This window comes from Homo sapiens, chromosome 16 (assembly GCF_000001405.40).
Source record: "Homo sapiens chromosome 16, GRCh38.p14 Primary Assembly".
NCBI lineage: Eukaryota > Metazoa > Chordata > Mammalia > Primates > Hominidae > Homo > Homo sapiens.
This window is the reverse complement of record NC_000016.10, coordinates 24,609,988-24,624,787: the sequence shown is the minus strand read 5'-3', so window position 1 is coordinate 24,624,787 and position 14,800 is coordinate 24,609,988. Positions and strand designations below refer to the sequence as shown.

The window sequence follows — 14,800 nt, the reverse complement described above, 5'->3', positions numbered from 1 at the left end:
CCTTTGCTGAGTGCAGTGGCTCATGCCTGTAATCCCAGCACTTTGGGAGGCCGAGGCAGGAGGATCACTTGAGCCCGGAAGTTTGAGGCCAGCCTGGGCAACATAGGGAAGCTCCCACCTCTAGAAAAAATATAATAAGAAATTAGCCAGATGTGGTGATGTGTGCCTGTGGTTCCAGCTACTTGGAAGGCTGAGGTGGGAGGATCACTTGGGTCTGGGAGTTCAAGGCTGCAGTGAGCCATGATTGCACCAGTGCATTCCAGCCTGGGCAACAGAGTGGGATCCTGTCTCAAAACAAACAAACAAACAAACAAACAAACGGTCCTTAGCAAGTAAAGCAGTGGGCAATTCAGCACTCAGATGCAACTATTTTTGAGTAGTCAAGGAAGGTAGATGACAAAAATGGCCCTCCTTCTTCAGCCCTCCTTGTATTCATGCCCTCTGCTGTATAATGCTGTAGCACCTCCCACTTTTGCTCTGAGATGGCCACGTGTCCTGCTGTGACCCAATGGGATGTCAGCAAATGTGACGAGAGCAGAGATTTGGAATCCACGTGCACATTTGGGTTTGCGTGCTCTTGCTCCTCTGTCTGTGTGGTAAGAAACGTGTGGGCGAGCCTGCTGACGGATGTGACCCATGGAATGGAGTGGACTTACCCCGAGTTGTCCCAGCTAGCCAACAGCCAGCTGATGCCCAGACAGGTGAAAGAACCCAGCCAAGAGCAGCAGAGCCGCGTATGTGACCTACAGCCAGTGCTGGCTTCATCACTGCATGACCTTTGCAATTGCATAGAGCCCAGTGCTAAGAAAAGAACCATTTGCTTTAATGCTAATGCTGTTGCCATCCTCTTGAAATTCTTTTTTTTTTTTTTTTTTTTTTTTTTTTTGAGACAGGGTCTTGCTCCTTTACCCATGCTGGAGTGCAGTGGTGCGATCATAGCTCACTGCAGCCTCCAACTCCTGGGCTCAACCAATCCTCCCACCTTACCCTCCCGATAGCTGGGACTACAGGTACACGCCACCATGCTCTGCTGATTTTATTTTATTTTATTTTAATTTTTTTAGAGACGAGGTCTCACTATATTGCCCGGGCTGATCTTGAACTCCTGGACTCAAGCACCCACCTCAGCCTCCCAAAGTGCTAGGATTACAGGTGTGCGCCACCATGTCCAGCCTTGAAATTCTTCATAATTTTTAAATAAGGGACCCTGTGTTTTCATTTTGTACTGGGCTCCACAAATTCTGTAGTGGGCCCTGCCGACATCTGAGCACTGACACCTGAGTGAGCCCAGCTGATACATGAAGAATGACCCAGCCTGATCTGCAGACTCATGAGACAAATAAATTCTTATCACAAGGTCAGGAGATCGAGACCATCCTGGCTAACACGGTGAAATCCTGTCTCCACTAAAAATACAAAAAATTCTCTGGGCGTGGCAGCGGGCGCCTGTAGTCCCAGCTACTCGGCAGGCTGAGGCAGGAGAATGGCGTGAGCCCGGGAGGCGGAGCTTGCAGTGAGCCGAGATCGCACCACGGCACTCCAGCCTGGGCGACAGAAGGAGACTCCGTCTCAAAAAAAAAATAAATAAAATAAGTAAATAAATAAATAAATAAATAAATAAATAAATAAATAAATTCTTATCACTTAACTGACTGGGTTGGGTGGTTGCTTTGCATTATTGTAGCAGTAGATACTGATGCACCAAATTTTCTTTGCTGTACGCACAGCGGTTCCTCTGTTAGCATGATGTCAAATACACTTCCAAACTGCACCATCTTACACAACAACGTTAGGTGAAACACAAAATTGCTTTTGTATTTTGGTTTTCAGTGATAATTGGAACTCGAAATGATCAACTGTGTCTTTCTCATTCACCTATGTACCGCACAGATAAAAAGAGCTGGTTCTTACCTTTTCCGCCAGTAGTTTCACTCAACTGTAAAATATAATATTGGCCGGCATCATGATAATAATGGTAGTTCCACCATATAATAGAACTGTTATTGCCATTTGTGCTATGTCACATACAACCCTGTCACCAGGTTTGCTTCTGGCTAGTTTTGCTTTCTCTCCTAGCGTTCTGTTTGTCCTAAATTTGGGGCTGGTTTTGGAGGCATGTTGAAAACAGCATGGCTTGCATCTGCTTTTGCTGTTTTGTCCTCTTTGCAATTATTATGATGATTTTTTCTTCTTTGAGATGCAGTCTCTCTCTGTCACCCAGGCTGGAGTGCAGTAGTGCGATCTCGGCTCACTGCAACCTCTGCCTCCTGGGTTCCAGCAATTCTTCTGCCTCAGCCTCCCAGGGATTACAGGCACGCACCACCACACCCTGCTTATTTTTGTGCTTTTACCAGAAACAGGGTTTCACCATGTTGGCCAGGCTGGTCTCGAACTCCTGACCTCAGGTGATCCACCTGCCTTGGCCTCCCAAAGTGCCACGATTACAGGTGTGAGCCACAGCACCTGGCCTTCTTTGCAATTAGAAATAAAATTAATCAATTGCATACTAGAAAATGTTCTATCTTTTTTTTATTTTTTTCTTAGGGATAGAGTCTTGCTATGTTGGTCTTGAGTTCCTAGGCTCTAGAGATCCTCCCACCTTGGCCTCTCAAAGTGTTGGGATTATAGACATGAGCCACCATGGCTGGCCACTAAAAAATATTCTTTTGTACTTGGTTCGGGAAAAAACACTGGTTGGCCAGACAGGTTATTCTATTTTGGAAGTGATGTGAAATGTCCTACAGCATCAGGAAGCTATCTGATAAAGTTTTCTAATACAATATACATTGGAGACACTAGGAAGATAAATCCCTTGTTCAATAAAAATCCAATTTTCAGATACTCATAGCCTTGCTTTCCATCCACACTTTCTCTTTCAGCTGCTGGGGTGAAATCATCATATTCACAGATGCTCTGTCTTGGCAGATCCTGAAGTCCTGTTCACTAATTATGCTTCCGAGTCGCAGTGTTTGTAGTACTATTTTTACTATTGCTTTTATACTCTAATGAAACACTTTTTAGTGATTAAGCTATTTTTGTTAATCAGAGCCATAACATAATAGTAACAGGAAAAAATGCACACGTTACACATATAAACAATAATATACCAATGATCTAGCTAAGAAAGGTTGGCCAGGCACGGTGGCTCACATCTGTAATCCCAGCACTTTGGGAGGCCAAGGTGGGTGGATCATCTGAGGTCAGGAGTTCGAGACCAGCCTGGACAACACGATGAAACCCCGCCTTTACTAAAAATACAAAAATTAGTTGGGTGTGGTGCCGCACGCCTGAATTCCAGCCACTCGGGAGGCCGAGGCACAAGAACCGCTTGAACCTGGGAGGCGGAGTTTGCAGTGAGCCGAGATCGCACCATTGCCCTCCAGCCTGGGCGACAGAGAGAGACTCTGTCTCTCTGTCTAAAAAAAAAAAAAAAAAAAAAAAAGACCATATTCTAGTAACTGAATTTTGACTATACATTGTTAAGAATGTGACCAATTTGAACCATCTGCACCCTTGAACCATTATTGAGACCATAACAGTATTTGGTAATCTTTCTTCTATTTCAAATTTGTGAAATGCTTAAGCACATGTTTTTTTTAAAATTATTTTTATAGAAACAGAAACTGCTAAACAACTTGAATACTATTTTTCTTTCTTTCTTTCTTTGAGATGGAGTTTCACTTTTTTTTTTTTTTTTTTTTTTTGAGACGGCGTCTTGCTCTGTCACCCAGGCTGGAGTGCAATGGTGTGATCTCGGCTCACTGCAACCTCCACCTCCTGGGTTCAAGCAATTCTCCTGCCTCAGCCTCCCAAGTAGCTGGGACTACAGGCACCCACCACCATGCCCAGCTAATTTTTATATTTTTAATAGAGACGGGGTTTCACCATGTTGGCCAGGATGGTCTCGATCTCTTGACATCGTGATCCACCCGCCTCGGCCTCCCAAAGTGCTGGGATTACAGGCGTGAGCCACTGCGCCTGACCGGAGTTTCACTCTTTTTGCCCAGGCTGGAATGCAATGGCACGATCTCGGCTCACTGCAACATCTGCCTCCCCGGTTCAAGTGATTATCCTGTCTCAGCCTCCCGAGTAGCTGGAATTACAGGGGCACGCCAACACGCCCGGCTAATTTTTGCATTTTTAGTAGAGACAGGGTTTCATTATATTGGTCAAGCTGGTCTCGAACTCCTGATTTCAGGTAATCTGCCCGCGTCGGCCTCCCAAATTGCTGGAATTACAGGCATGAGCCACCCCTCCTGGCCTGAGCCAGAACACCCAGCCTGAGCCACTTATGAACAAACATCACATTTTAGAAACAGTGACCCAAGAAAGCCTAAACTCTTTGACTTGGTATATAAGGCATTCCATAATCTACTTCCTTGACTAGCATTATAACGACACTACCAACAATACCACCTCCCTCTACTGAGACCTTCCCATGTGGTCAGGTAGCATTGCAAACGGATACTCTTATTTCAAACTCACAATAACCCTAACAGGTGGGTACAATGATTGTTATTATGAATTTATAGATAGGGAAATTGAGGCTTGCAGAAGTACTTGCTCAATGCCACGAAGCTAGTATGATAATTCAAGGACAAGCAGGGATCTGATGATCCTAAGCTCATATAGTTCTTTTTTTTTTTGAAACTGGGTCTTGCTCTGTCTCCCAGGCTGGAATGCAGTGGTACAATCATAGCTCAGTGCAGCCTCAAATTCCCGGGCTCAAGTGATCCTCCCACCTCAACCTCCCAAGAAGCTGGCACTACAGGTATGCACCATCACACCTGGCTAAGTTTTTAATTTTTTATACAGCCTGGGTCTTGCTTTGTTGCCCAGGCTGGTCTCAAACTCCTGGGCTCAAATGATCTGCCCACCTTGGCCTCCCAAAGTGCTGAGATTACAGGTGTGAGCCACGGCACCTGGCCTATTGTCTAGTTCTGAATGTCCATACCATGATTCCTGCCCAGCTTCTCTGACATCTGCTCCTGCGGTCTCTCACACACACACCCTGTACAACTGACCTTTCCTCCCTGTACCCGTGGCTGTCTTGTTCCCCGTGTCAGGGACATTCTCTGACGTTCCTCTCCTTGTCATCCTGATGAACTTTCACTCACCCTTCATCTTCCAGTGCAAGAGTATTTTCTGTGAAGTTTTTCCTTCCACCTACATCCCAGGATTTTTACCTTGTCTGTAATGTAGCTAAAATTTTATTTCTTTCCATTCTCCAGACAAAAATGTGAACATGTCTAGAGTGACAGCTCAGTTATTAAGAATTACACTATGACAGAACATAATTTACTACATTGTATCTGATTGTTCCCTGCTCTATCATTAGTTGACTCTACTTATTGACTTATGCCTCAATGAACAGGCAATTTCTTACCTTCAAATGTTATTCTCAGGCAGTAGGGGAACAGAATTAATTCTTATTGCATCTATAATAGCAGCTACTTAAATTCATGACACAAAGAGAATACATTCTCTATTTTCCCTTCTCCAATTTAATCTCTGAGAGTGAGACCCACGATGATAATAGGTGAATTTTCTAAATTCACTAACTCCAAGCGATGCTGGGGATATTGTCTATGGATACTCAGAAAACAGCCCAATCAAGGCAGCAAGAATGTATCTTTAGTTCTCATGGCAATTAAGAAAGCTATAAATCAATCTGTTACATTCTCTTTGAAGAAAAAGTACAGAGTAGTGGTTTAGAGCAATGGTTTTAAAATTCTTTCGAAAATTCACTTCAGTGGTATGCATTTTAAGCCTGTATCTCTGCAAATGTGTGTATTTACTTATTATTTATAGCTTTTATATATGAACTACTGTACTATTCAGTATATTACAAAAACATTGGCCAGGAACCGTAGCTCACACCTGTAATCCTAGCACTTCGGGAGGCCGAGGTGGGTGGATCACTTGAGGCCCGGAGTTTGAGACTAGCCTGGCTAACATGGTGAAACCCCATCTCTACTTAAAAAAAAAAAATAGCCAGGTGTGGTGGCATGTGCCTGTGGTTCCAGCTACTCAAGGAGGCTGAGGTGGGAGGCTTGCTGCAGTGAGCCATGGTTGCGCCAGTGTACTCCAGCCGGGATGCCAGAGTGAGACCTTGTCTCAAAAAAAAAAAAAAAAAAAAAAAAAATTCATGAAATGGAAAGTAAAAGGAATGATATAAGGAATACATATAAATAGAGGTCCCATTGTTTTCCTTCTTCACCCTAATAGATCATCTTGTGTACTTGCTGGGTGATATAATCACACTGCTGTTGTCTACAGATCATTCACTAGGCAAGTCAACTACTTGGGGCCTCAGTTGTTTCACCGGTAAAATGGGAATCATAATTATATTTACACCATAAAGCTATGGGGATTAAAGTCATTCCACATTTATTTGACAAATAGTTGCTGAGAGCCTACCAGGAGTAGGGTACTGTTTAGAAAATAGGATATACCACTAGGTAAAATACCTAGCTCAGTGGCTGGCACATGCAAAGTGTTCAATTGATGTTTTCTGTAATTACTCCTAACAGAAGGTGGCTCAGTCACAGCCTTGAAAAAAGCATGGGCTGGGCGCAGTGGCTCACGCCAGTAACCCCAGCACTTTAGGAAGCTGATGCGGGCAGATCACTTGAGGCTGAGAGTTCAAGACCCAGTCTGGGCAACATGGCGAAACCCCATCTCTACAAAACAAACAAATAAACAAATAAAAAAACACAAAAATTAGCCGGGTGTGGTGCCGCACGCCTGTAATTCCAGCTACTAAGATGGCTGAGGCACGAGAATCGCTTGGACCTGGGAGGCAGAGGTTACGAGCTGAGATCATGCCACTGCATTCCAGCCTGGGCGATAGAGTGAGACTCTGTCTCAAAATAAATAAATAAAATAAAATAAAAAAATTAATTCAAATTAAGAGGCATAGATAAAATCAAATGTCTTCTACACATCTCCAGAACTGTGCAGGGGATAGGATGCCCTCCTCATCCGTGGATATGAACTGTTTCATTCTCAGCAGGCGTAGCTGAAGAACAGAGGAGAGATAACACAGCCTGGCTTGACCACTTACAAGGCACATGACTCTGGGTGAGTTATTTAGTCTCTCCATGCCTCAGTTTCCTCATCTCTGCAATGGGTATAATATCAATACCTACCTCCTGGGGTTGTTATGAGGATTACATGAGCTTTTAGTAATAACATACTTGACACAGGGTAAGTGCTATATAAGTTTGTTGTATAAATAATACAATTAATAAAAGAAGCATATTTCTTCATATTTGATCTGAGTCAAAAGGCCAAGAAGCAATAAAAGAAGCATAATTCTTAATCACACAATCACACTAGGCATTAGGATTATTAAATTATCTTGGCCAGGGGTGGTGGCTCATGCCTGTAACCCCAGCACTTTGGGAGGTTGAGGTGGGAGGATTGCCCAGGAGTTCAAGACCAGCCTGGGCAACGTAGTGAGACCCAGTCTTTACAAAAAATATTTTAAAAATTAGCCAAGTGTGGTGACATACACCTGTAGTCTCAGCTACTCAGGAGGCTGATGTGGGAGGATCACCTGAGCCCAGGAGTGGGAGGCTGGAGTGAGCTATGATTGCACCACTGCACTCCAGCCTGGGCAACAGAGTGGGACTCCATCCCCACAACCTGCCAAAAAAAAAAAAGATGCTCAAAAAAACTAATAGATAAATCTATAATTACAGTTAAAGATTTTGGCACATTTCTCTCTCTTACTGAGAAAACAAGCGCACACACAAAAGATCAAGAAGGTTACAGAAGACTTGCACAATATGATTAACAAGTTTGGCCTAACATATATAAAATTTTATACCCAACAATTGCAGAATACACATTTTGTTTTTTTGAGGTGGAGTCTCACTCTGTGGCCCAGGCTGGAGTGCAATGGCATGATCTCGGCTCACTGCAACCTCTGCCATCAGGGTTCAAGCGGTTCTCCTGCCTCAGGCTCCTGAGTAGCATGCACTACCATGTCCAGCTAATTTTTTGCATTTTTAGTAGAGACGGGGTTTCGCCATGTTGACCAGGCTGGTCTCGAACTCCTGACCTCAGGTGATCCACCCGCCTCTCAGCCTCCCAAAGTGCTGGGATTACAGGCATGAACCACCGCATCTGGCCATACACATTATTTTCAAGTGCATATGGAAGCTTTGCCCACACTGACCATATGCTGGGTCAAAAAGAGTCTCTTAACAAATATCAAAGAATAAAAACATATAGAGTATATTTTCTGACTGTTGTCAAGATAGAAATAACAGAATCTCATATTTTGCGTGGCTTCTGTGTTTATGAACATTAATAAATTTGTATGCCTTTTTCTCCTAAAAAATTAATAAGCAAAAGAGAACTACCTTCCCTTATGTATTTAGGAGTTAAGCAACAATACCTTTTAAACAATCTTCTTTTCTTCTTCTTCTTCTTCTTTTTTTTTTTTTTTTTTTGAGACAGCATCTCGCTGTGTCTCCCAGGCTGGAGTGCAGTGGCGCAACCTCAGCTCACTGCAACCTCTGCCTCCCGGGTTCAAGTGATTCTTGTGCCTCAGCCTCCTGAGTAGCTGGGATTACAGGTGTCCACCACCACGCCTGGCAAATTTTTGTATTTTTAGTAGAGACAGGTTTCACCATGTTGGCCAGACTCATCTAGAACTCCTGGGCTCAGGTAATCCTCCCATCTCAGTCTACTGAGTAGCTGGGACTACAGGCATGTGCCACTATGCCTGGCTAATTAAAAAGTAAATTTAGAGATAGGGTCTTGCTCCGTTGCCCAGGCTTGTTTCTAATTTCTGGCCTTAAGTAATCCTCCTGTCTTGGCCTCCTGAAGTGCTGGGATTACATTTGTGTTACCATACCTGGCTAATTAAATTAAAAAATTTAGAGCATGTAGGGGTATGTGTGTTGGGGGGTGGGTGGGTGGGTTACTTTTTATGTTGCCCAGGCTTGTCTCATACTCCTGGCCTCAAGGGATCCTCTTACCTCAGCTTCCTGAGTAGCTGGGATTACAGGCATGAGCCAGTACACCCAGCTACAACTTGAAACACATGCTCTGGGTTCTCAGTAAGCACTCTGCCCAGCAACCCTCTGCTCACTTTAGAATGTTCATTCCCCCTCTCCAAGATGATGATTTTATTCAGCGTCTCAGCAACATTCAACCCAGTTGGTCACTTTCTCCTTCCTGAAATATTCTGCCCTCTTGGCTTCATGAGCCCACACTCCGATTTCCCTCCTCTTTCCACCTCCTGCATGGATGCCTCCATTATCTGATTTCTAAATGGTGGGCAGCCTGGAGTTCTAGTCTCACTTCTCTTTGATTTCTCTCTTTACACTCTCTAAGTGATCTCAGCTGGTCTCCAAATTTACATATGAAGTCTAAACCTCTTTGAGCATATCCCACTGTCTAGGGTATATCTTTCTGGATGTCTCACGGGATCTCAAGTCTACTGGGCTCAGCACGGAATGGTTGACATCTTCCTGCCCTCTCCCCCAACAAAATACTCTTCTCCTCTCCTAGTCTTTCTTTCCATCTTAGTACATGGAATTATCAACCTGTGAGCCTTCTCTAATATGTGCCTTTCCTTCAATTACTCTATGTGATCCAGCAGCAAGACTTGTTATTTCTACCTCTTACACATTATTCTCATCTGTCCACTCCCTTTCCATCTCCCCTGCAATTAATTTATTTTAAAAATTACTTATTTATTTTTTTGAGACAGAGTCTCACTCTGTCACCCAGGCTGGAGTGCAGTGGGGAGATCTCAGCTCACTGCAACCTCCGCCTCCTGGGTTCAAGCAATTCTCTTGCCTCAGCCTCCTGAGTAGCTGACAGGTGCCGGTCACCATGCCTGGCTAATTTTTGTATTTTTAGTAGAGACGAGGTTTCACTGTGTTAGCCAGGCTGGTCGCGAACTCCTGACCTCAGTTGATCCACCTGCCTCGTTCTCCCAAAGTGCTGGGATTACAGGCGTAAGCCACCGTGCTGGTCCACTGCAATTACTTTAAATTAAATTGCCTTCCTTCTGTTTCCCAAATAAGCCCCAGGCTTCCTGCCTGGGGGCCTTTGCATGTGCTCTTGCCTTGCCTAGAACACTGAAGGCATTGAGTTCCATATGGCCCAAATTTCATTACGGGGAACAATCTCAAAAGACTCCAAGTCATTCCCAAAAAAATCCCGTGAGAAGAGATCTTATTTCACCACACCCACCTTCTAATCCATATCCAAAACAGACCCGTGCTTGTTCCAAGCAAAAAGCAAAGTCTGATAGATGATAGTTCTGAGGGTATCTCTAATCACAAAATTGGCCTCAAATTTCCTCTTGGCTTTCAGTTTCTCCCAATATTAGAGGGAGACAGTGTCCAGCTTATTAGCCTTTTGAATTCATGTAGTAGTCTGAGAAAAAGAGACACAATATTTTGTACCTCCACCCAACAAGTGGTATCTTTTTCCATCCTCTAACTCTGGGCTTGACTACGTAACTTGTCTAGGCCCACGGGGCCTCGCAAACACGATGCAAGCAAATGCTTGAACAATGCTTGTGTACTGGGGCTTCCCTTCTCTTGCTGCGTTTGGAACCCAGCTGTCATATGAAAGACTGGGCTAGCCCTCTAGCTAGGGAGACACGTGGCCTGGTCAATTTCAATTGCCCCTGCCAATCAGCAGACACCTGGGTGAGATCATCCACGAACAACCAACTCTGAACCAACCTGCCAGCAGACTATCTATACTGGCCATGAACCCAGGCCAGGACAGCAGCAGTGCCCAGATGATCCCAGCTGCCACTTCCAACTCACAGAGTTAGGAGTTATAAGTGATGGTTGTTTGAAGCCACTAAGCTTTGAGGTGGTCTGTAATGCAAGAAAAACTGATATACCTCTTGTGTTCATTTTTTCGTATTGCAAATCCAAGTATGCTCCTTCCCTACTTAAAATGCTTTAATAGGCTGGGCACAGTAGTTCATGCCTGTAGTCCCAGCACTTTGGGAAGCCAAGGCAGGCGGATCACCTGAGGTCAGGATTTTGAGACTAGCCTGGCCAACATGGCGAAACCACGTTTCTACTAAAAATACAAAAAAAAGAAAATTAGCTGGGCATGGTGGCAGACACTTGTAATCCCAGCTACTCAGGAGGCTGAGGTGGGAGAATTGCTTGAACCTGGGAGGCGGAGGTTGCAGTGACCCGAGATCGAACAACTGCACTCCAGCCTGGGCGACAGAGCAAGACTCTATCTCTAAATAAATAAGTAAATAAAATAAAATAAAATAAAATAAAATAAAATAAAATAAAATAAAATAAAATAAAATAAAATAAAATAAAATAAAATAAAATAAAATAAAATGCTTTAATAGTTGCTCATTGATCCCAGGATGAAATCCAAGTCATTAGCCAGGGCTTTGGAGCTCCACATAATCTGGATGGCCTCATCTAACACAGTCTGAAACATGCAATGTGTTTGGTCCACCAGCATTCTTGAGCCCTTGCCCTCCTCAAGGCCTTCACACACGCCACCTGGTTGACCCTTACCCCTCTCTCACACCCCAACTTAAAAATTGCATCATCAGAGAGGCCTCTTTTGACCAACTCTGTCCCCACTTTTATGCCCCCGCAACTGAAGTATGTCTTCAGTTATAGATTCCTTTTTTTTTTTTTTTTTTTTTTTTTGAGACAGAGTCTCACTCTGTCACCCAGGTTAGAGCGCAATGGTGCGATCTCGGCTCACTGCAAACTCTGCCTCCTTCCTGGGTCCAAGCAATTCTCCTGCCTCAGTCTCTGGAGTAGCTGGGACTACAGGTGTAAACTACCACTCCCGGCCTTCAGTTATATATTCTTATCATATCTTATTACCTTCCTTCTTAGCAAATGCCCCACTTTGAAACAATATATCATCTTGTGTGATGACTTAATAGCTGCCTTCCCCACTGGACTATAAACCCCATGAGAATAGAGTGTCTCTGTTTCGTTCACAAATGTAGCCCCAAACTTGCACAAACTGTCACATGGCAACTGTTGGACAGCTATTTTTTTTCTCTTTGAGACAGGGTCTCACTCTGTCACCCAGGCTGAGTGCAGTGGCGCAATCATGGCTCACTGCAGCCTCGACCTCCTGGGCTCAAGCTATCCTCCTCCTGAGTAGCTGGAACTACAAGTGCATGCCACCACACCTAGCTAATTTTTTTTTTTTTTTGTATTTTTTGTAGAGATGAGGTTTTGCCATGTTGCCCAGGCTGGTCTGGAACTCCTGGGTTCAAGCAATCCAGCCGCCTAGGCCCCACAAAGTGCTGGGATTACAGATATGAGCCACTGCGCCCAGCCTGGATAGCTTTCTTTCGAAGCTGTCTGGTGGTTAACTGTGTGGACGCTGGAGAAAACTGCTTGGGCTTAAATCCTAGCTCTATCACTTATTAGCTGAGTGCCCTTAAGCAAGTGACCTAATGAGCTGCTCCTTGCCTCAGTTTCTCCATCTTGGAAATGGAGATAGAAATAGCACCCTGTCATCGAGTCACTCGGCGGATTCTGCTCTGTCGTTGTTAAAAGTTTCTTGCCGAACAGACGTTGGTATAGCTCAGATGACAGTGAACCAAAAGCTTTTGACACAGCCACCATCTCCTTTCTCTGGGGCTACAGATACTGCCATGATTTAATTTAATTTTACTTTACTTTATTTTATTTCATTTTATTTTATTGAGATGGAGTCTTGATCTGTTGTCCAGGCTGGAGTTAAGTGGCATGATCTCGGCTCACTGCAACTTCTGCCTCCTGGGCTCAAGCGATTCTCGTGCCTCAGCCTCTCGAGTAGCTGGGATTACAGATGTGCACCACGATGCTTGGCTACTGTTTGTATTTTTAGTAGAGATGGGGTTTTCTCTATGTTGGCCAGGCTGGTCTCGAACTCCTGACCTCAGGTGATCTGCCTGCCTCAGCCTCCCAAAGTGCTGGGATTACAGGTGTGAGCCACTGTGTCCAGCCACTGCCATAATTTCACAATTCACATTTGGCTTCCCCATGGTTCAACTAATATATGTAATATATCTGCAAGACTTGTTATTTCTATCCCTTAAACATCATTCTAATCTGTCCTCTCCCTGTCCATCTCCACTGCAATTACATTGAACTAAATCGCTCACATGCTGCCTCATTCTGCAAAGGTGTGGCCTCAAACTCGGAGCCAGCTCTACGAGATGCCTCTCGATGCCCGAGCGCATCCAGCACTAGATTTTTTGCTCCTGCTTTGAGCCCTGGTTTCTCCCACAGAGAGTCAGACGTTTGGGGTCCGAGTGCCTTGTCTCCTGACTGCTGTAACTGTGCCTCCTATCACTTGATCATTCCCTTGCTGAGCTGGGGTGTGGAGCCAAGAAACCACCTCCCAGGAAACAGTTCTGATGGCCCCAAGCAATGTATCCATCTCCTTTAACACATATGTGCACGCACGTACACACAGCGGGAACTGGGCATTCTACACTGTCTTAGTGAAAAAAGAATTTTTTTTAGAAGGTACATTTCCAATCACCAAGTCCTTAGAAGCTGTTCTTTCAGGCTCTGGCCAGAAAGGACAAAAATCTAGGTATCCAGAAAAATAATTTTAAAAAGCGAGGTTAGAGGATGAGAGGAACTCCTAAGAAAAATCAGTGGGAGACAGAAAGGTATGTGAATAAAAAAGAAAATCCAGCTGGACTCAGGGGTTGATGCCTGTAATCCCAGCTCTTTCGGAGGCCAAGGCGGGGAGATCACCGGAGGTCAGGAGTTCGAAACCAGCCTGGCCAACATGGTGAAACCCCATCTCTACTAAAAATACAAAAAAATTAGACGGGTGTGGCGGTGGGCGCCTCTAATCCCAGCTATTCGGGAGGCTGAGACAGGAGAATCGCTTGAACCCGGAAGGCAGAGGTTGCAGCGAGCCGAGATTGCGCCACTGCACTCCAGCCTGGGCGACGGAGCGAGATTCTGTCATAAATAAATAAATAAATAAATCTGAGGGCAGGGGGTGGAAAGGGGGAAGGTGAGAGGTGAGAGAGGTTAGGAGGAGTAAGATAGAGAGAGGAGAGGCTCGGAATAAGATGGGCTGGGAAGGGAGAGGGAGGACAGCGAAGGAGAAGCTCCTTCCACCCCAGCAGAGCCAGCGCAGCGCTGCTCCTTAGGAAGGCTGCGTCTGTTTGGCAGGGCCCGAGAGCCGCAGCTCCCCAGAGCCGGCAGGCACTTCCCTTCCAACGGGCCCAGCGAGGGTGCCCTGCGCATGCTAATGAGGCAGTTGAGGAAAGCTTCGCAGATAATTGCTGAAAGTGTGCAGTAACTTACCAGGCTGGGAGTCAGTGGGCTGCAAAATGATGGGGCACCGCTCCTGGGGGCCCCCAGCAGAGGGGCCTGGTCTCCAGGTACCCGGCGCTCACAGGTTAGTGGCTGCAAGACGACGGGTTTTCCATTCAGTCAGGCACTGAACCCAGCGATGGGGAGAGCCAGACCAAAGGCAAAGGAGAGGAGGGGAACCTGCTTGTGTTTTTGTATTAAATTGTTTTTGAACCCACGTAGCCCTGGGAGTCACATGCCGCCTCCAACATCACCGGAGCCATCACATGATACAGGTCCCCCATCATGTGATGAGACAAATCTGCCTAACTTCAGTCCCCCACCCCCAGCCCCCGCTCACAGACTGACAGATAAAGTGCTTCTGGGGGACCCCCCGCCCCCTACCCCCAGTCAGTGACAGAGGGAGGGACGCAGATGGAGAACCCTCAGAGCCCATGCAACGCGAAGACCTTGATGAATAGTTAATATGCCTTTCTCTCTCCTCCTAA

The 14,800-nt window shown here is 45.2% G+C and overlaps 1 protein-coding gene across 14 annotated transcripts in view; it reads right to left on the bottom strand.

Moving 5' to 3' along the window:
• The window catches only part of TNRC6A (trinucleotide repeat containing adaptor 6A), a 216,014-nt gene extending 201,431 nt beyond the window's left edge, over positions 1 to 14,583 (bottom strand). For all 14 annotated transcript variants that reach the window (XM_024450231.2, XM_017023145.3, NM_001351850.2 and 11 more), the window contains exon 1: positions 14,304 to 14,583. The gene's annotated coding sequence lies outside the window, so the exon portion shown is untranslated. The remainder of the gene's footprint in view (positions 1 to 14,303) is intronic.
• Between the last annotated feature and the right edge of the window lie 217 nt (positions 14,584 to 14,800).